This window comes from Homo sapiens, chromosome 8, assembly GCF_000001405.40.
Source record: "Homo sapiens chromosome 8, GRCh38.p14 Primary Assembly".
NCBI lineage: Eukaryota > Metazoa > Chordata > Mammalia > Primates > Hominidae > Homo > Homo sapiens.
Window position 1 is genome coordinate 60826578 of NC_000008.11, and position 22864 is coordinate 60849441.

At 41.0% G+C, this 22864-nt stretch overlaps 1 protein-coding gene across 11 annotated transcripts in view; it reads left to right on the forward strand.

Moving 5' to 3' along the window:
* CHD7 (chromodomain helicase DNA binding protein 7) overlaps nt 1-22864 on the forward strand; it is a 189289-nt gene that overhangs the window by 147838 nt on the left and 18587 nt on the right. For 6 of the 11 annotated variants that reach the window (XM_011517553.3, XM_047421945.1, XM_011517555.3 and 3 more), the window contains exons 14-26: nt 2086-2229; nt 3745-4000; nt 9496-9706; nt 10240-10435; nt 11091-11258; nt 11499-11678; nt 15067-15177; nt 15270-15475; nt 18287-18486; nt 18673-18832; nt 19923-20012; nt 21938-22027; nt 22474-22577. The exons of 1 other annotated variant lie outside the window; for it this stretch is intronic. In XM_011517553.3, the coding sequence (XP_011515855.1) occupies nt 2086-2229; nt 3745-4000; nt 9496-9706; nt 10240-10435; nt 11091-11258; nt 11499-11678; nt 15067-15177; nt 15270-15475; nt 18287-18486; nt 18673-18832; nt 19923-20012; nt 21938-22027; nt 22474-22577 (2116 nt within the window). 4 more of the 11 variants (NM_017780.4, XM_017013613.2, XM_047421947.1 and 1 more) reach the window with 2 other exon arrangements.

The following is a 22864-nucleotide window of genomic DNA, read 5'->3' on the forward strand; positions in this document are numbered from 1 at the left end:
AAAATGCGCTTGATGGGGATTATCTCCAAGTGCATTCCCAGAAAGGACGACCAATGAGTGTCTTCAGCTCTGCAGACACCAAGGAAATGTTTGTGAAGATGATACATTGAGGGGCAGTCACCATCTTCACAGTCCTCCACAGGAGCTCTGGGAAAGCAACCATCTCGTTGTCCCCCATCCACGAGGAGGGGATGCTGTGGAGATCATGGTAGTTCTTCATTGATTCTAGTATCTCTTTCATTGTCAGGAAACCTAACACAAAAGAGTCTGCTTAAAATGAAATTAAATGGACATCACTTCATCAGAGCTAAAAAGAATGGTAACGTTGTCAAGGCAAAAGCACATCTGCTAGCATAGGTGGAGGTGATAAGCTCCATCGCCTGAGTTTCTTACCTGATGTTTTGTGAGACTGTGCATAGTAATCGTGTATTTTTTAATTGTTACCCACTTTCAAATTGATACCTAGTTTTATTCCACTATTTGTAGGTAACTGTATGAAAGGATTTTGTGTATAATCATTTGGTGTAACTAATTGAAGGGAAGCTGCATAAGAAAGGAGTTCCTAATGCTAGATGACGAGTTAGTGGGTGCAGCGCACCAGCATGGCACATGTATACATATGTAACTAACCTGCACAATGTACACATGTACCCTAAAACTTAAAGTATAATAAAAAAAAAAAAAGAAAGGAGTTCTTTCCTTTTTTCGAATAAGTTTATTTTGAAATTAATAAGTTAAAAAGGCTTTAACTTTTAAAATATTTGGTTAAGCAGTCAAGATTTAATTTAATGTCGTAATAAAGGATATGAAAAAACTGGGAGACACGATATCAATACAGCTCAACTACTGCAGTAACTCTTTCCTGAATATGTGATGGGACTTAAAAAAAAAAGTTCTTGCATACAGTAATCCAGGACTTGGGTATGTCAGCGATTGTGGCCCAGGCTATCCACAAGTGTGGTGATACTTTAGAAAAAAATTGATTGATTGATCCTTACTGTTTATGAATTTACTGAGTCTGAAGATGATGGTCGTCCATGAAACTTCCTCAGAGACTTTATTCAAAGGGAAGAGAAGGAGGAATACAAGCATATTGAACTCCTTCACCTACTTTCAAAGAGCTTCATTAACAGATATGACATGGTAGATATTAAGAAAATTAGCATGTTCTTACCTCATTCATCTAGTATTTACTGAGCGTATACTCTGCTTGGCAACCGAGACTTGTCAGATTCCAAATTAAGTCAGAATATTGCTTTCTCAACTACTGGGATGTATAATTACTTTCTGAAATAGTTTTGTTAGCTGTGCTGTGTACCAAATGGCCAAAGTAGAAAATAATAGGGTTCTTAAGATTAATATCTCACTATTGTTAAGACTGGCCATTGTAAAACAGCTCTTCTGTATTGCATATATGAAAATAGGAAGACAGGGTATAACTGCATGAGGAAAGCTGGGGAAAGAGTTCGTAAACAGGAAGAATTAATTAAAGAAATACCTAACTTGGTTCAAAGAGACAAATTTATAAATAGCATCTGATTAAAAAAAAGTGATTGTGGTATTTACAACCAAGCTGACCTCTTTGCTAGTTGGAAATTTTTGCAGAACAAAATAGTTTTTCATATGCTGTTGCATGTAGAACTTCTTTTGTCTCTATGAAGTGAGTCATGCAGGAAGCAGATGGAGAGATGAGAGCACTGTTGATGTAGAGAGCAGAAAGAAGCATGCATGTTTCATCTGCGTCTAGGGATTCTAGGAAAAAAACTTAACTGGTGGGGATAAAAGCATTGAGACTTGGGGGACTTAAAAAGCCGTGATACTAAAATACTGACCTATAACCCCAGGAAGAAACAAAATGGCAAGACACATTTAAGGACCCTGTAGAGTTCTGGAGAGGACTGTCCATGGATCTGTCTACCTGACACAGAAATCGTGTTCTAATACCTCTGTTTTCATGCCTGATTCCTATACTTTGCATAGGGTAGATGAGTAGGAGTAGAACAATGGGTGTCTAGTGAGAGGCTCTGGTTTTAAGAAAGTGTTTTTGTTACAATTTGGTTAGTGGCTTTCCTTGTGTTACCTCAGGAACACAAAGTGCTGCTGACGGGAACCCCACTCCAGAACACTGTGGAAGAACTCTTCAGCTTGCTTCATTTCTTGGAACCAAGTCGCTTCCCTTCAGAAACCACATTTATGCAAGAATTTGGTGATCTAAAAACAGAAGAGCAGGTATTTATCAGCTCCACTTTGTATTTCAGTTATAAAATTGAAGATTAGCCCATGAAATGGCAAAGTATTAAGTTATTTTAAAGTGTGATTATATTACAGTTTTTCCCACCTAGTACACAGAACCTTAGATACCCTTTCCTTGGACTTTCCAGGTCATCATCATAAAGGTTTTCTTCTTTATTTGTTTGTCTTTTTGCTCTTGTGAAGGGCTGTTGAGATTTATAGAGAGGTTACATACCTGTTGATGTAATTTTCAGAGATAGCTGTGCTGTGCAGGTTGGTAGTTTTGCTAGGTATGTGTAATTTTGGGGATGATGTCAGACGCCACTGACGTTGGTAGGCCTGTTTGCCTGCTGCAGTTTTGAGTCTCTGTTCTTTGTGAAGCATCTGTACTCAGCCACACCGCTTACTTCTTCAAGCCTACGTATTTTCACTTTAGAAACTTAGGGCATAACCACTGCACAGTATTTCTGTGAGAAGTAAATGAAGCATTGTGTATAAAAAGTGCTTGGGCCAGGCGCGGTGGCTTACGCCTGTAATCCCAGCACTTTGAGAGGCTGAGGCAGGCGGATCACGAGGTCAGGAGTTTGAGACCAGCCTGGCCAATATGGTGAAAACCCATCTCTACTAAAAAAAATACAAAAATTAGCCGGGCGTGGTGGAACACGCCTGTAGCCCCAGCTACTCTGGACGCTGAGGCAGGAGAATCACTTGAACCCGGGAGGCAGAGGTTGCAGTGAGCCAAGATTGCACCACTGCACTCCAGCCTGGGTGACACAGTGAGACTTCATCTCAAAAAAAAGGAAAAGAAAAGAAAAGTGCTTGGCTATTTTATATGCTGTAAGAGTTATGTGGGCATTAGTTATAATTTGTGTGCTGTATTTGAAATAAATAACGGAGATAGACTTGAAATCTTGGTTTTTACGTGCCCCCTCCACTGACTTACTGTCTAAAACCTGTTAGCTCAGTTCAGAGTAAGGTCTGTTTTGTTTTTCTTTTCTAAAATAAAAACTGTATGGATTACTCAGTTCTATTGCCAATCAATAGAAAAGAGAACCAGGGAGAGACGTCTCTGCTGGCTCCTTAGTGCAGGGACTAGATTGCTCCTGGCTCACTTCCTCTCATTCTTTAGCTCTCCCTAGAAAGGAAGAGAATAGAAACAGAGCATTGCCATGACATTGTCTTGTCCCTCTTCTCTATCTTCCCTATGGCTTAGGACAAACAGAAGGGAAAGCTACATGAATCAGTTGGATTTCTCCTGCTGGGTACTTTTCAAGCCTTCTGGCTGTTCAGGGCTCCTGGATGGGTGAAATAGTTCATTTGACATAAAATTATGCAACCTTCATGCACTGCTCTTATGAAAGCTGAGAGATGAGCTCCTTCATACTCTCACTGGGCTTTGAAAAATGAAAATGGATGTTTAATGAATGAGATAATCCTGATGTTTCATGTTAAAATATGTTTTAACTTGCAAGCAAATCATGACACTAGTATTTACTTAAGGTCCTTTTTTAGGTGCAAAAACTTCAAGCTATTCTAAAGCCAATGATGTTGAGACGTCTCAAAGAGGATGTAGAAAAGAACTTGGCCCCCAAAGAAGAAACTATTATTGAAGTTGAGCTAACAAACATTCAGAAGAAATATTACCGAGCCATCCTTGAGAAGAATTTCACATTTCTTTCCAAAGGCGGTGGTCAAGCTAACGTACCTAACCTATTAAACACTATGATGGAATTGCGGAAGTGCTGCAATCATCCGTACCTTATCAATGGTAAGGCTGCCCTGCTCGCGAACTTGCTTAAGTGACGATTGAAGCACCAGAAATCCCTTTCTGCCCCCAGACTGGGGATTTCATGGTGTATAGTCATTCCTGTCTCCTGTCCACTCAGCATGGGTTTCACCAGCTTCCCACTTTCTGTGATGCCTCCTTCTGTGGTTGCTGAAGGTGAGTGACCATTGCCCCAGCAATCCCTGAAGTGGAATCTCACCTTGCCTTTCTCCTGACCTCCCTGTGCTTGAAAAGAGGCGTTAGTGTTCCAGGGCTAGAAGTCATCTGAAGTGCTAACAGCCAAAGAGAAATGAGCCCCTAATGGAGGTTTTCTTGGGGTGTGTGTATTTAAATCAGAGATGTTAAAGAGGAACTTAGGTGTGAGCAGACAGCTATCAGCTGTCTCAAGCCTTTGATAGCAAATGTCCTCATCTTCCTCTCAGTCCAGAGTCATCTAGCACCTCTATCCTCTGAGAACAAAAAAATTAACTTAAAGCTTTGATAATTTATGGCCCTCCTCTTTTCTTAACTAAATTCATAGTGTTATGTAACTCATGGCTTAAAACCTTTATTATGTATTTTTGGAAATCATTAAGGTAGTAAATATTTCATGCTTATGTTGTATAAGATACTCTGGAGAATGCAAAGGTAAATAAGAAGGGAGCATTCGCCACAAGCAGTCTTCAGTTAGCTGAGGGATTGAGATTGGGGGAGTCTTTAGAAGGAGATGGTCTTTTTAGGCAAGTCTGCAGGGGTAGAAAGGATTTTGCGAGGCAGAGTTAGAAAAAGAAAAGATGTTTAGGCTGAAGTAACGATACAAGCAAAGAGAGGGGGTCAGGAAAACAATGAGGAACTTTCCCAAAGTAAAAGGCACACATAAGAAATGCACCTTAGACATGCTTGGATCCTGCTGCAGAATTCCTTAAAGGCTAGTGCATGGAACCTCCACTCTACTCTGCAGGCAGTGAAGAACCATGACTAGTGTTTGAGCTGAGCATTGATTAGAAATATGATTCAGGGTGATGCGTCAGGCAACACTGCATAAAAAGGATGGGAGGAGGAAAGACAGACAAGCAGAAGAACCAGCTCAGAGGCTATTGTATTCTGGGTAGAAGTTAATGTGGGTTAAAGAAAGGTGGTGGCAGGCTAATTTGGGAGACTTGTACACGATGATAGTTGGCCAGCAGTGCAATTAGATTCCTTTCCAAGGAAAAGGGAGCACAACCTGGTCTGTCTTTATCACAGTTTATGTTCAAGGACAGCTAATTTAAAGAATTTCTAATCTTTCCCCTTTTAATAACGTGTAACTCATCGGCCACCCTAGATTCAGAAGTCTCCGTTACTAATGGACAGAGTAGTCCACTCCTGGAAGATAGTCTTAGAGTGTTGCACCTGGGATCATTGGTGTGATGCGACGAATCAGTGAATTTCTTTTTTATATATATATACACAGTTTTTTTTTCTTGAGATAGGTTCTCACTCTGGCGCCCAGGCTGTAGTGCGGTGGCACGATCTCGGCTCACTGCAGCCTCGACCTCCCAGGCTCAAGCATCCCTCCCACCTCAGCCTCCTGAGTAGCTGGGACTACAGGCATGCGCCACAACGCCCAGCTAATTTTTTTTGTATTTTTTGTAGAGACGGGGTTTCTCCATGTTGCCCAGGCTGGTATCGAACTCCTGAGCTCAAGTGATCTGCCTACCTCAGCCTCCCAAAGTGCTGGGATTACAGGTGTGAGCCACTGCACCTGGCCAGTGAATTTCTTTTTGTGCTTTTAGTTTTGTCTTCTAAAGAGAGTATCATGTGTGATGATTATGTATCTGATACTGCCAATCTGCTAATCACAGTATGTTTAGAAGCTTGTGCAGCCGTTACGGTGAGTGTTAACTAGCCAGGTCTTGAGTTGGCGAGACAGAGCTTAGGGCAACTGATGGAGCGAGATGAGGACACGTGTGTGCATGCACTGTGCACATACATGTGTTTGCATTTAATAGCTGGTACAAAAGAAAATAAATAATAGCCTCCAAGGGGAAAGAAAAGAAAAGGAGATACAAAAGGGTTTGAATGCTACCAGCAGGATGTGTGTGAAAGGGGAGATCTCAGCAATGGTAGTTAGATTGACACCCCCAGTTCCATCAAGTTTACCCTGTTTGGTCATATGTTAATTATATGCATTGAACATTGTGGGTTGTTTTCCCCCAAAACACAGCTGGTGTGTCTCTTCCTTTGATGATTGCTTTCCAGGGTCATCCTGTATAGCATATTTGTTCGCGAGGAGCCTCTTAGGACTCCCTAAGGCTTGGCAGATGTGGCAGTTGTCCTAATTGGTCACACCTTGAGGTCAGCTTTTCTGTCCTGACAAGAAGTGTCTGTTAAGCAGGTGTCTTTGTCCCTAAATTTGGGGAAGTTATAGTGAAAAAGTGTAGATAACATACAAACTAAGCGCACGCAGCTGCCCAGATAACTTACGCAGACATTGTATTGTGTAGAGGTTGCTCCAGGGCCCGTACTGTTCATTCTCATCCACAGTCTGGAGTAAAAACATATATCCAGCATTTAAAAGGAAATTCTTTAATTTGGGAGATTACATTGAAATTTGAATTGGTTGTGGCAGAGTAAAGAAGCCTCAATCAACATTCAACAAAACACATTTCCAGGATTATGAAAAATAGAAGCAATTTTATATGTATGAGTTGAAAGCTTATGTATGAGTTATTAGCTCAAGCTTTATTTCAATGGAATTTCCAATTTTTAGGTTTTGCAATGTGAAGTTAAGAATAATGTTGAAAACATGTCCAAGGTACCCTGCTGGTTAGAGCTGACTTAAGAGTTGTTGCTGGTTATTGTTTGAGGCAGGAGGCGTGTAGAGGAAGAGTGGGCAAAAAGAAAACACGAATGAGGCTTACGTGATGGAGTGAATTTCAGAGAGAAAATAGTAACTTTTTTTTTCTGGTAATCGTCAAGAACAAAATATTTTCTTGTTTGTTCGTGGCTTTTATATAGCTAGAGGACATTGCAGTTACTGTCCCGACAGTGACCATCTGTTGAAGTGAAAAGACTTCAAGCTGTAAGTGAATGCACACTTGTTTCAAGTTGTCTTTGATATACACACTTTCCAGTGTAGTGCCAGCCATACATTAATTTAGGACGGAACCAACAAAGTGTTTTGGGTTGGCATGACCTATTTCCAGTTAATTTTTGGATTGATGTTTACAAATTGGGTATCAAACATTAATTTGTAATCTTGAAAATTTAGCTGTGATATCACAAGGGAGCAGTTGCTTTCCTCCCCAACACTCTTCCCACCCTCTTTCCTTCAATGTTGCCACAATAAAATGTCAAGACAATCATATAGGAAAGGTGTTTGCTGATACTGTTTTTAAATGAAATATTATTAGTACAAACTGGCTGCCAGTTGTAAGAACCTGAATTCATAACAGAGAGCTGAATTAATTAATTCAGAAGTAGCTTTTGTCAGGTAAGAAAGAATGCATTTTTTTTCTGACTATTCTTTTTGATAGTATAAAAAAGGCAAAAATTATTTTTTTAATCTCTGAATAAATTTAAAATTAAAATTCTCTGCAAATTTGACTGAATTATTTGTTAAAAAAATTTAACTGAAACCCAAATATCTGATGTTTATTTTGTCGAAATGATTATTTGCTTTTTGAAAAATATTCGTTGGCCATTAATTTGTTTTAAATGGCTAAAATACTATATTTTATATTGTGGATTTTAACTTAGTATGGACAAAAAATAATTAACCAAATGTCATAAGAGTAAAACTTATTCTGAATTTCAGAGCTTATGATGTATTGTACAACAAGAATACACTTGAAAGATACCTAATGTAACGTGCACTTAAATCTGTTTCCCCTGTCTCTTGAGGGGCTTGTCCTGAATCTAGAAGCTGGGTTTCTAAATTTCATGTTTTAAAAAATATTTAACTTTATTCAAGAACATTCTTGCTAGTGCCCTTAAACAGCATTTTGCTCTTTACTCTTGCATTTATTTTCCATACTTAAAGAAACATTCTGAATATTAGCTTTTCATTCACTTGGAAAAAGGAGTGAGGGCCAGTCTGCCTTCATAAGAAGTCAGTGTATTTTGTGGAAGGCCTTAGTGCTTGGGAAGACATTAACTGACTTTAATCTGTTCTCAGTAAATTATTTGTTGATTAATAATTAATAGGCTGTATTTCTGCATTTGACCATGTCATAAGGTAATTTCTACATGCAGCCTTAAAGTACAGATAGGATTGCACTTTTGTTACATCTGTGCTTGTTGCAGCAGTACCATGTGAGAGGCTGTGGTTGTCTGTCCCACTGACCCAACCTTTAAAGCCTCTTTGAGGTTTATGTATCCCCATCTTGTGTATAGTTAGTTCACATGTTAAAAACCAGTGGTAGGAAGGTAGTTTTAAGTTTCTGGCACAGTTAAAGTCTAGGAAACAATCCCATTAAGATGAATGTGTGTGTTTGTATTTTCTGAAGAATAGTTGAGCACATCCTCCACCTTCAGGGAAAAGAGCTAAACACAACAGCTATGTCCTGATTAACCCCAGAGGCAGGAGGAGGTCAGACCAATGCTGCGTAATTCTAGTTAAGCCACCTAAGCAGTTGAAGGAAGCTTAGCCTGCTGCTTCCTAAATAAGCGTGTGTCAGGCAGGGATGTCATGGGCCATCTTTCCTTAGGAAGATGTCATCTTCTTGAGGCCTCTTTCCAATGTACCCAAGTCTTTGGACCAGCAAAAATCCATGTGGGGGAAAAGAAGGGTTTAAGCATAGAAGTCTTATGTCAAACACTTAAAGGTTTGTTTGTTTTTAATTTTAAAAGATTTGGATAGTTCAAGATAGAATTTTTGTATCTTAGGAAAAATTACCAGATGGGAATGAATGTGGAGGGAGATTTAGAGATTACAATAGTTGTATGCTTAGGTCCCCCACAAATATTCCAGGAAATTGTCCTGGAAATAAATTCCTCTTTTTGTAGTTCCTTTGCCTATATTAATATGCAATTATAGACCCAAACTACTATTGCTCTTACGCTGTAATTGTTAGGACTCTATTCCTTTGTTTTTTCATTTCGGAACAGATTTTGTTGTTTGTGTTTATGTTCAGCTAGTAAACATTTCTTCATTTCTTTAGCAATTTAGGTTCCAAATTTTCTGTAGGTATCTGGCCCTTGGCTTGTTTCTGCCACTTCTGGCTTGACAGTCTGTTGTTGAAATTCCGTTTTTACAGACAGCAAACATTTGTTTGTTGAAAAATGTGGTTTTCCCCCTGAATGCCTCAATGTGTTGTGCTTAAAACTTTTACCCCTTTTGTACATCCACAGTTTTGTATAGACCCAACTATGAGTAAGTGGATGGATTCTTGTTCATAAGCAGGAGTTTGGTGTTCTGGTTCCTACAGTTTGCAATGGGTTTTGAAAGCAAGTGCATTGTTTTTAGTAATAAAAACCTTTTACAGTATTCACGTTATGCTGTCCAATCTCTGCAGGTGCTGAAGAGAAAATTTTGGAAGAGTTTAAAGAAACACACAATGCAGAGTCTCCAGATTTTCAGCTCCAGGCAATGATCCAGGCTGCTGGCAAGCTAGTGCTGATTGACAAGCTGCTGCCAAAACTGAAGGCTGGTGGCCACAGGGTGCTTATCTTTTCCCAGATGGTGCGCTGCTTGGACATACTGGAAGACTACCTCATTCAAAGACGGTGAGGACCACCATATCAGAATAATAAAAAGGAAATCTAAAATTACCTTCCCAGGGGTCCAAGCAGTCCACCTAAAAGTGGAATCTATGATAAAGGGGCTAGAATGGGGGAAGTGCATCACATGTCATTTTTAAAACTATAGATGTACATGATGATTATTTTATATGATGACTACAGGAGGACACTGCATACTTTTTTAGGCAATTTTATTTCCCCATTGCCTTTATTTGAGTAGGGGAGAATAGTTCTTACTTAAAATTGAAATTATTTGTTATCTTACTGTTATAGGTGTCAGCTGTTTTTAGAATTTAACTATTTCCCTGGAGAGGAAGTAAAATAAAATTTAATCTTTGGTCATTCAATCAATTATATAAAAAACGCCAATAAACCCTATTTGCTCTGAGATTAGTTCTGTTAAGTCATATTAGTCTTTTTAATATATATTCCATATTGTAATAATTAAAAATTAAAAAAAGGAGCAAGTATGTTGTCGCTATGCGTCAGGCCTCCTTGTTCACACTGATGTTTTCTAGGTACCCATATGAAAGGATCGACGGCCGAGTAAGAGGCAACCTCCGCCAGGCAGCTATCGACAGATTCTCCAAACCTGATTCTGATAGGTTTGTTTTCCTCCTGTGTACAAGGGCAGGAGGTTTAGGCATTAACCTCACTGCTGCTGATACCTGCATCATCTTTGATTCAGACTGGAATCCCCAAAATGACCTCCAGGTAAATGCACAAGAAAGTCCTGATGCCTTTAAAAAGGAAGTCATTCTGCTTACTATGACAGAGAGTACCAGTCAGACCCATAAATTAATGTTGCGTCGTCACTCAGGCTGTGTCCTATGATTCAGAGCAAATAACCAACTAGTAATCTGTTGATTAATAATGTGAGAAGAAATTTTTTAGTTTTAACCTTCTTCTAAACTGCACCTCTATTTATTGGCACATAGATAGGGTCTTAGAACTGGCAGATGAGTCTTGTCATTCTTTGGTAGCCGTCTTAGCTCAGGTCTCCTTAACAAAATACCATAAATTGGGTGGCTTAAACAACAGACATTTATTTCTCACAGTTCTGGAGGTTGGAAGTCCAAAATCAGAGTGCCAGCAGAGTCAGGTTCTTGGTGAGGGCCCTCTTCCTGGTTTATGGACAGTTATCATCTTGCTGTGTCCTCACCCAGCTTAAAGAGAGCCAGCTCTCTCGCCTCTTTATATGAGCAGTAATCCTGTTCGTGAGGACTCCACCTTCATGACCTAATTACTTCCCTAAGGCGCCACCTCCAAATACCATCACATTGGAATGAGGGTTTCAGCATATGAATTTGGTGGGGAGACAGAAACATTAGGTTCATTGCAGTAACTATTAATTTCATTTTTCTTCCAGGCTCAGGCTAGATGTCATAGAATAGGACAGAGCAAATCTGTGAAAATCTACAGGCTGATTACAAGAAATTCCTATGAAAGGGAAATGTTCGACAAGGCTAGTTTGAAACTGGGCCTGGATAAAGCTGTGCTACAGTCTATGAGTGGAAGAGAAAATGCTACCAATGGGGTAAAACCACCCTTGCCCAAACCATTTATTTATTCTGGCACTTTCCTTTATTTAACTAATAGTAAGAAATTACTCAGCCTTTGATTATTTTTCGACCTCAATATTTTAAGTGTATTTTGTAACACTTTCCTTTGTTATAATTTAGGTTTACTCTCTTTGAGAAAAATGCAGCATTTGTTTAGTCTGCAAACCTCTTAATTTTAAATTATTTTGAGTATTTTAAATATTTCTCTAAAACAGGTACAACAGCTTTCCAAGAAAGAAATAGAGGATCTTCTACGAAAAGGGGCCTATGGTGCACTCATGGATGAGGAGGATGAAGGGTCTAAATTCTGTGAAGAAGATATTGATCAGATCCTCCTACGTCGAACCCACACCATTACCATTGAGTCAGAAGGGAAAGGTTCCACATTTGCTAAGGTGTGAATCGATCTAAAGAGGCCAGGTTTTCCATAGAAGCATGACAGAGTTCATGTGAAAAGTACCTTGTAAAAGTGCTTACAAGATGCATTGGGAATTAATCAAATTAATCATTAACTCCCTGTGGAACCCCTGGCACATGAAGCTTTCTTTATGCTTTGGTTTATCTTCTGTGTACCTGCCACTGGTATTTGCCCTCACCTTGTCATCCTTGTATCTGCTTCCCAGCTCCTGAGGCTAATCGCTCACTTGTGTTCTTGACTCTATTGTCTCCACTTCTGAGATCCTGCTCCGTTGGCATCTTCCTTCTCTCCCCAGATCCTGGTTTTTGAAACAGCCTATAAGAATGATCAAGTCACTCCTTTAAAAACACCTCTTCTCTATTTTCTTCTTTAGCTAAATCTCCATACATAAACTCTTCAGAGCTAAAATCCACACAAACGTAATCTACTGCAGCCTCTACTGTCTCCCTTTCTACTTATTTTTCAGCTTTTTCAGCTTCCAGCTTGCACCTGTTCCCTGCCTCTCTATCAGAGCTGCTCTGGCCAGGGTCACCACTGAGTACACCAGATGGTTCCACCTGAGAGCCCCTTCTGAGGTTTCACCTGCATTTTGTTCTAGCCATCTCAGTGAGGCCCACTCTGTACTTTTATTTTTAATGACTTTATTGAAATGTAATTAACTGACCATACAATTAACCTGTCTTTCGTGTACAATTCAATGCCTTTACCATATTACAGACTTGAGCAAATATTGCCACAATCTAAGTTTGTAACATTTCCATATACCCCAGAAAGGTCCTCATGCTCATTAGCAATCATTCCCCATTCCTATCCATACCAGTCTGCCATATCTGGAAAGCATGAATCTACTTTCTTTTTCTACAGATTTGCCTTCTCTGGACAGTGGACAGTTCATATAAATGGAATCATATGATGTATGATCTTTTGTGTCTGACTTCATTCACTTAGTATAATGTTTTTGAGGTTCATCCATGTTGTAGCATGGATCAGTAGTTCACTCCTTTTTATTGCTGAACAATATTCCATTGTATGGGTATACCACCTTTACTTGTTGATAATGGACATCTGGGTTGTTTTTACTATTGGCTATTATGAAGAATGTTGTTATGGATATTTGTGTACAAGGTTTTGTATGGACTTGTTTTCATTTCTCTTGGGTATATACCAGGAGTGGAATTGCTGGGTCCTATGTTAACTTCATGTTTGACTCTTTGAGGAACTGCCAGACTGTTTTGTAAAGTGACTGTACTAGTTTCCTTCCAAGTCAGATAGTAAGAAGTATAGATGAGGATATGGAGGAAATGGAACTCCATATCCTCCCCAATACTTTTTATTATCTGAGTTTTTAGTTTTAGCCATCCTAATGGGTGTGAGGTCATATCCCACTCTGGTTTTTATTTGCATTTCTCTGATGATATTGAGCATCTTTTCATGTGCTTATTGGCCAGATGTAGATCATCTTTGGAAAAAATTCTATTCAAGTTCTTTGTTCATTTTTTGAGTTTCTTTTTATTAATGTTTCAGACTTAAAATATGTTCTGTATGAAGGTTCTGTATTAATATGATTGCAGATATTTTCTCCTACTCTCTTCTTAATAGCATATAATTTTAATGAAGCCCAGTTTACCAAATTTATTTTATCGCTTGTGTTTTTAGTGCATTGTCAAACCCAAGCTCACAAAGATTTATGTTTTCTACAGATTTGCCTACTCTGGACGGTGGGCAGTTCATATAAATGGAATCATATGTTATATGATCTTTTGTGTCTGGCTTCATTCAGTTAGCATAATGTTATTCACTAGTGTAACTTAGATTCCAAGATTTATAGTTTTTAACTCTTACATTTTGGTCTGTGATCCCATTTGGATAGAGTTTTGTGTATGGTGTGAGGTAGGGGTCCAACGTTCGTTTTGCATGTGGCTATCCAGTTGTCCTAGCCGCTCCAATCTGGAAAGGCTCTTCTCCTGTGGGTTTTGAGACCCACATCTTCTCCTTTACATCTTTCAGCCTTGTGTCAGATTATTTTCTCAGAGCTCACAGGCACTGTGTATTCAATATGTGCACAGCCAAACTTATCACCCCTGTCTCTCCTCCTGCCCCTATCTCTGTTTGTCCACCTGACTGACATCATTCAGATGCCTGAGATGGATGCTGAGGTTTTTCTGGCTTCCGCTTCTTTCATATTTCACTTGTACCCAGATTCTGACTCCATTGATTTTGCCTTTTGTTTTATTTTATTTTTGGGATGATATCTCACTATGTTGCCCAGGCCAGACTTGAACACATGGCTCAAGTGACCTTCCACCTTCAGCTTCCCAATAATTTTACCTTTTAAAGAATATGTTTCTTTTTTTTTTTTGACAGAGTCTTGCTCTGTTGCCCAGGTTGGAGTGTAGTGGCGCAATCTCGGCTCACTGCAACCTCCACCTCCTGGGTTCAAGCAATTCTCTTGCCTCAGCTTCCCGAGTAGCTGGGATTACAGGTGTGCACCACCATGCCTGGCTAATTTTTGCATTTTTTGTAGAGACAGGGTTTCACCATGTTAGCCAGGCTGGTCTCAAACTCCTGACCTCAAGCCATCTACCCACCTCGGCCTCCCAAAGTGCTGGGATTACAGGTGTGAGCCACCATGCCTGGCCTAAAGAATATGTTTCTAAACCACCTTCTTTTCTCCATTTTGTTATTTCTTCTGTAAATTATTACAGTGGCTTCTTCTGCTGTGTTCTGACCTCCATGCTCCAAGCATTGGTATGACCTTTCCAACTTGTGACTCTGGTTATGATTGTGTCCATAATGAGATTATTCCTATTTTCAAATAGTTCCTGGTTCCTTCGGGATAGAGTTCAAACTCTGTTAACTCTGTTAACATATACAGACACTGCTTGACCTGGCTTCTCTCTCCCTCACCAGCTCGACCTCTGGCTCTTCTTCCCTGACTACCCTTATCCCCTTTACTCTCTGTGCCTTGGCACATGCTCTGCTGTGAACATTTCCACATGCTTTCCTGTTTTATAAATGTTTTAGAATGGTTCAGGCATCATTTTATGGAAGAGACTTTTCTTTTCGGTTTCCAGCAACACCCTGCCTGAACCAGGTTAGGGGCCCCTCCTCTGTATATCACTTGCACTGGTCTATACACTTGCTCCCTATCATTTATCACTCTGCAGTGTAATTCTTGGTTTGGTCTCAGGCCCTGGTCAGTGAGCTGCCTGAGGGCCAGTCTGTCATTCTAGTCCCATCTACTGTAGTGTCTGGCATAAGTGGAGGAATGCACAATATCGGAGCAAATACATAAACAAAAGCTGCTTTACATTCTGCTTCTGAGAAAGGCCTCTCAAAGTAATGCGTTTCTTTTTTCTCTTTAGGCCAGTTTTGTTGCATCTGGAAATAGGACAGATATTTCCTTGGATGATCCAAATTTCTGGCAAAAGTGGGCTAAGAAGGCTGAATTGGATATTGATGCCTTAAATGGGAGGGTGAGTAAGAAGTCCCATTCGAACACCTATCTGATCTAAACCAAGAGCCACTCTTTGAGAAATGTCAAATGTATCTCCTCTTTTATTATTAGAACAACCTGGTTATTGATACTCCAAGAGTGAGAAAGCAGACCAGGCTCTACAGTGCAGTGAAGGAAGATGAGCTGATGGAGTTCTCAGACTTGGAAAGTGATTCTGAAGAAAAGCCCTGTGCAAAGCCACGGCGTCCCCAGGATAAGTCACAGGGCTATGCAAGGAGTGAATGTTTCAGGGTGGAGAAGAATCTGCTTGTCTATGGGTAAGTAGGACTCACTACGTAAGATAGAATTTTATTGTAACAGTAGTTAGAATTCCCAACTGGTAGAGAAAAACTATATTTGTGTTTGAATTTGTGTGACACCCCTTTGCACAGTCAAATGAATGCTTCTGCAGTAACTTTACAGGGCTTTGAAGCCATTTGGTTAACATAATCTAAGTTGTTCAGATGCTTCTGGTTCAGAGGTCACCTGAAGTTAAGGTGCTTGTGTATACCTTAAGGAATTATGCCAGATCTAGAGTTACATGTTGATTATTAATAATTAAGAACAAAGTGTCAAAATTATGTAATCTTTTCTCACTTTACAAGCTTTGCATAAAATTTATGACTGTCGTAAGCTTTTAATATTTCTCTTATAAAAAATTGTCAAAGGCAGTAATCTCACTTGTTAAATTCTTCCTTGCAACTCATATGAAACATGAATGGTCATTTGAACTTTGTGAAAGTGTTGTATTTTTCCTGCTGGACTATAAGTTTCTGAAAGGGAGGATCCATGTCCAATTTATCTCTGAATCACTGTGATGCCCAAAGTGGTACTTTGAATGGCAGGGTGCTCAGTAAATATCTGAATTGGTCAATAAGAGTTCTCTAGCAGATTGTGGGACTACAGGCAACTCCTGTTAAAAAAAAAACTGCAGCTAGAGTAACCTTTCTACAGATCTGATGACGTCCTGTCTTGGATGATTTCTTCCAATGAATTACCATTAGTTTCAGAGTAAACACAAACATATGCTGACATGGCATCCAGAGCTCTTCTGGGACCTTGTCTTCTGTTGGTTCTTTCCCATGGGTAGTCCAAGCTTCTGTTAGGACAGACGGCTTCATCTCCTTCAGTGCGCCACGCTCCATCTCATCTGTGTCTTTGCACAAGCTCTTCCCACTGCCTAGAGGACCCCCCACTTGCACCTCCGCTGGGAGGTGACCTACCTCCCTTCTGCTCTCCGTGGGTGTCCGACGCAGGCATCAGCTTGTGCTCTGCAACTGAGTCTGGCCTGCACTTCCCATCACACTCATCATGTTGTTTACAATTTTTGAGTCGCCTCCCTCTTTCAGTTTGCAGCTCCTTGAGGATGGAAGCTCCTTCATTGTGCCCTCAGTGTGTAGTGCAGTGTGAGCAGACACACAGTGCTGATAAATGCTTGTTCAACAGAAGTCCATCATTATCTGTGAAGCTGGACATCCTCTCTTGTCTCTTCTTACATGGGGCAGAGACTCACCCCCTGCGTCCCAAAAGCCCTGCCCCGCAAAAGCCCTTTGCTACCCATGCCTGCTGCCATGTTTCAGCACAATCATCAGATTTGAGAGTTCTGTGGGTAACTTTAGGAATGGAACACATAAATAACTCCTACAGCTAAGAAGTGTGCTTAGCGCAGATTGTCTTTCAGTCGAGCCCTTCCCTCTTCCCATAGTTGTCACTATGTACTGAACACCTATGTGCTAGGCACTGTCTAGGATCCTCTCAGTCACTAGGGGTGGAGCTCTGAGCAAGACAGTCATGGCTCAGGCAGGCAGGTGAGCAAGTAGAAGTGGTGCAGACTGTGACAATACTGTGACAGGGAAGCACTCTGCTGTGGAGCATAGAGCCTGTCAGCTCACTGTTAAGACACAGCTCCAGTGTTGTCTCCCCACTTCTGGGGTTAGGAGGAATGAAAGGAGGAATTCCACAAAAGGTGGCATGTACAGCTTGTGACTTGGTGGATATCACAAATCAGCCAGGGTAAGAGGGAGTGCTGGGGTTTGGGTAGGGAAGGGAAGTGAGGTACCGGCAGATAGAGCAGTGTGTTCCAAGGCCTAGCAGTGAGAGCTAGCCCTGTGGTTGGAGAAACTTGAAGAAGTTCACAGGAGCCAGAGAGGACCAGGGAGTGACAAGAGACCAAGTGAGAGGCAGGGCCTGAGGGAGGATGTGCGCTGCTCTCTGCTCCAAACACAACTCTCAGTCTGCAGCAGAGGGGCTGTTCATACCATGAGCACTGCCTTGGTGGCTCAGTCTGCTGTCGCCTGGGAGAAGACATGGCTCACATAGCACCTGCTGCTGCCTGCCCCCGTACCTATTTGTTGTGTGGTCTTACTCCATAGCTCCCAGATGAGACAGCACAGCACTGTTTAGCCTGGGATTATAACACAAAACAGGCAGTCAGTCCCCATGGTGTGTTGTCTGTTTGCTTCTGTCTTCTGTCCATAGTCGTTTCTCCCACTCATTTCTCATGAGGACCTGAGGGTTGGCAGAATATCTTGCCTGTGATGGTTCTTATGCTTGGGGTTATTACTCCGTTTCAAAAGGAACCTCAGAGCTTTCCAGAACCTTTCACCAGTGACTGTGGCATCCCCTTAGAGGTGGGTTGATGCGGCCATACTGCTCAGCATCGCATCCTTGATTTTGGGGTAGTCACACCTTTTATCTTGAGTTGCCTTTTGTCTCAGATGGTTGGTCAACATCAAAATGTACTAATCATGACAGTGTGAAGCAAAGTCCATGATTTCCAGGCCCTCGGATGCACTCATGTCCTGAAAATTGCTGCTACAGCCTTCATGTACCTGGAAAGGCCAGGGTTAGCTTTGTGGGTGTTATTCTTGTGGCAGTTCAACTCATGCGCTTAGAAGCAGTGAACTGAGGGGCAGCTTACTGTATAAAGGAGTGTTTTTAACTCTTGCACCCTGGATTTCTTTCCTATCACCCAGTGTGAATTGTTGCTAGTTTTGACCCAGGATTTCCCAACGCTGGTACCTGACTTAAAGTAAAGCCATAAATCAAAACTCACAGGCACCTCTGCATGCTGGATATTTGCTTTGCAGTTGGGGACGGTGGACAGACATTCTTTCCCACGGACGCTATAAACGCCAACTCACTGAGCAAGATGTAGAAACCATCTGCAGAACCATCCTGGTGTACTGTCTTAATCATTACAAAGGGGATGAGAATATCAAAAGCTTCATCTGGGATCTGATCACACCCACAGCGGATGGCCAGACTCGAGCCTTGGTCAACCATTCCGGTAGGTCTCCACCATGCTGTTTGTGCTACAGGGTCACAAAGCCACCAGGAACTTTTGTGACACACTGTTGATAAAGAGATGTGACATAAACCCCATATTTCCCTGCCTCGTGCATTAAGCTCTCTGCCATTGACACTATAATTGGAATGTAAAAGGCTTCTATTATTATTATGATGGTGATTCTAGGTTTGTCAGCTCCTGTGCCAAGGGGAAGGAAGGGAAAGAAGGTGAAAGCCCAGAGCACACAGCCGGTGGTGCAGGATGCCGACTGGCTGGCCAGCTGCAACCCAGATGCCCTGTTCCAGGAGGACAGCTACAAGAAACACCTGAAGCATCACTGTAACAAGTATGTTATTAGAGGGTGGACCTGGAGAGCTTAATTCCCTTTTTATTCTTTAAAAAATACATGCAGCCGGCCCTTCACGTCTGCAGATGCAGAACTCGCAGATTTGGAGGGTCAACTGAGGGACCTGAGCATCTGCGGATCTTGGTGTCTGAGGGGGGTCCTGGAACCATACTCCCGCGGATATGGAGGGACAGCTCTGTTATTAAGACTTTTAAATGGTATAGTTATTGCCTTTGCACAGCCTTATCATTTTTCTTGAAATGTGGTGTCAAGTTGCAGGAGAGCGTACCTTTAGGTGACTGATTATTTTTTAACATGGTAAGATACACAACACAACGTTTACCATTTTTACCATTTATAAGTGAACAATTCATTGGCATTAATTACACTCACAATGCTGTATACTCACTATCTGTACCTGAAATGTTTCCATCTTCCCAAATATAAACACTGTATCAATTAAACAGTAACTTGCCTGGCCCCTGGCAATCACCATTCTACTTTCTGTTTCTATTAGTTTGTCTATTCTGTGTATCTCCTAGGGGAATCACAGATTATTTGTCCTTCTGTGCCTGGCTTACTTCTCTTAATATTTTCAAGGTTCATTTGTGTTACGGTGTCAGAATTTCATTCCTGTTTATGGCTGAATAGTATTCCATTGTGTGTATATGCCACGTTTTGTTTGTCCCAGTCATCTGTTGACGGACACTTGGGCTAGTTATCATGGCTGTTGTGAATAATGGTGCTATGAACATTGTAGAGGACTGGTTTTTAACCAGTATCGGTTAGAGAATAGTAGTCAGCATTATATGATCCCACTTTCAACTAACTGCGTACAGTGGAGGGAAGACTGGGGAGTTCATGTATTATTTTTTGCTTAATATTACCTCAGTTGCTGGGTCCATTTTTTCTGCCTGTGAGCTTGGAATCATATTTCTTACCTTTATTTCCAAAAACTGATTATAGATAATTGAAGAATATTGAAACTAAATTTATTTCATTGCTTGGGGTTCTGTTAACAGTTCCTATTAAACTAACATCTGCATATGTTGTTTCCTTATTCTGAATATGCATTTTTCCGTATCACTAGTTCAGGCAACAATGCTACTGATCAGCTCTATGTCCTAGCTTCGTGTGACCTTGAGCAAGTTATTCAGCCTCTTGAGGACTCACTTTCCTGGTGAGTCCAGTAGACCTCGGCAGCAAGATCTCAACTGGATAAGGCAGGATGTAAATAAGTATGCATTTCTCTTTGTAAAAGTAGCAGCAACAAAGTCTGAGCACATAATACTGGCAGCATGCCAAGCGCTTTGTATGGATTATCTGTTTGAATTGTCTAAGATTAGTATGATTTTTATCCCCATTTAACTGACAAGAAAACTGAGACTAAAGTTGAGTAACCTCCTCAAGGACCCTCAGCCAGTTAGGGGGCAGAACCAGGTTTGAACCCGAGTAGATGAGGGCAGCCTCAGCTTGGAAGTCTTCCCTGCTCCTTGGGGCTGTGGTGAGGCTCTGAGGTGTCTTCAGAACCATTACCTCCAACCCTTTTGGTATCTCAGAAACTTGGTGGTTACTGCTGTGGCATAAGAGTGCTCCCTAAAATCCGACCCCACTTACACTCTTAGAAAATATCTGGTCAGTATGGTACAGTCAATGTTTAATCTCATGAGTTAACAAGAGAAAAAAATCTAAAGAAATAGAAATGAGTTATCCAAAGTGAGTCTCTTCAGGGATTTATAAGCTCACACTTGGCCTATCCAGAACCCATGCTGGCCGTGAGTAGGCTCGTGGTTGGGGGAGGGCCTGTTGAGGAGCATCTGTTGATGTGTGATTGGGAGTTGTCTGTTCTGGTGAATCCTAGTTGTTATTTTGAAGTTTTAGGGACAGTTTCCATACCCTGAGAACAGCATGGTGTAGTAGAGCCTGAAGACCTAGTTCCAGTTGTGCCATGTGCAAGGTAACTCTGGCCTTAGATTTGTCACTTATCTTCTGCTACCATCAGTTTTCCCATTTGAAAACGGAAATTATAACTTGCCCTGCTTCATCATAGGGTTATCGTGAAGATCAAAAGGGCTAGTATAAGTGTGAGACATTGATTGTAAAGTGCTGTACAAGTACATGATGGGATTATTCAGCTGGGGAAATAGCATTTGTATTACCATGTACTCATGGCCAAGAAGGCTGCGATTCACGTATCAGTCCTGAATGCACACCAGGGCTGTCCAGCAGGGGATGCTAGCTTTGGTAGACACTGGCTTTTGGGACTTACCAGGTGGACTTTATTGAAAGAATTATGTTTTCGCCATTGAGAAACTCCATGCAGGACTGAAAATCTAGTTCCTAGAATTCCAAGGGTTTTAAAAAATCGATTTCTTGAGAATGATTAAGAATGTCAGTGAATTGGACACATTTTAATTTTCTAATGTTTAATTTTTTTTTCAAGCTACTACAGCTTAGGTTCCCAGGTACAGTAAACTAGAAGGAATAAAAATGTCTAACATAGTATTTCATACAGGAGAAGAGCAAGGACACACCTTCTACCCCACCCTGTCACCATCTTCCTTTCTCGGAAGCAAAGTTGTATAATCTGAAAAACCTGACATTCCATATTGAGGGTTTATTGTAAGGTAGTAAAACCAGATTTTATATCTCATTTATTCCTACAACTTCTGATGTGCTTCCAAAAATGGTATTAAGGCAGCAGCTGAGGAAATTTTATGAGATAATGAAGCAGAACAGTTACTGAAAGCCATCTGCTCAGTTGTTTACAAACTTGCTTCAATACTTCAGAGGCAATGGTAGGGTACGTGTCTAAACTTCACAAGCTGCACTAGGTAGAACTAAATGAAGTGCGCCTGGGCTGGGCTGAGCTCGGGCCCTCTCTGTGCAGTGTGAGCGGTTGCCAGGCAGGCCTGTTGGAAGCCAGCAGAAAGCACCACACAGAGGTGATTATGTGCCACCATCTGTCACGCTTCAAGCCTACCATACAGCATGGCTAATCAGCCTTGGCAGGATGATGGATGAACAGCAGCAGCTGCCAAAAGCCACTGTTGGCAAACAGTCCTGAAGTTAAGAACTTTTTCCCCCCTCTGTCTTCCTCTCCAGGGTCCTGCTGCGTGTCCGCATGCTGTACTACCTAAGACAAGAAGTGATAGGAGACCAGGCGGATAAGATCTTAGAGGGTGCTGACTCAAGGTTAGTGCGAGCTCACATTTGTTCTCAACCTCAGTGAGATAATCTGGGTAGCCGGAAAACATCATGGATTGTGTTTCAGAACCTTCATAAACCACTAGTAACCCATCTCCTTTTTTGCATCTTGAATGCAGTATTTGTCCTTCGTGCTTGGGGATGTGATGAGAATCAGGAAAAGGCTGTTTGCATTTATGTTTGTAGTGTAAAGAGATGTGAACTAAAGCACTGGTGTTCTGAGATGACCCTTAAAATGGGATACCATGTGATAAAGTTCATTTCTGGTCATGGCAGAGGGCTACTGACTCATGCCCTTTCTTTTAACCTTGCTGATACCTCCCCACCATGCTCAGATGTTTATCGTGGGAGAGAGGGCATGTGAGCTATGTATCACATTCATTACTTGGAATTCTTTTTTAATACTAATATTTCTTATAAATGTTGTCTTTCAGTGAAGCCGATGTGTGGATCCCTGAACCTTTCCATGCTGAAGTTCCTGCAGATTGGTGGGATAAGGAAGCAGACAAATCCCTCTTAATTGGAGTGTTCAAACATGGTAAGTGACGTTTCTGTTTGAATACATCTCAACTGTATGGCTTGGTCTTTATTTAGAACTCTTTACATACTCTTTTCCAAAGTCATAATATTAATGAGGATAGTTCCAAAGGACTCTTGGCGTCTACCATTTTTCTGTACTAAAAATCTAATATGAACTGTAAATATCAGATGCTGTTTTTGAATGTTTGTTGAGCATTTGAGAAGAAAACATTTCTTTCTTGGCTGTAAATAAAACCCAAACCATATTTGTTTTAATAATAGCCAAGTTGTACTATAGCTCTCCCT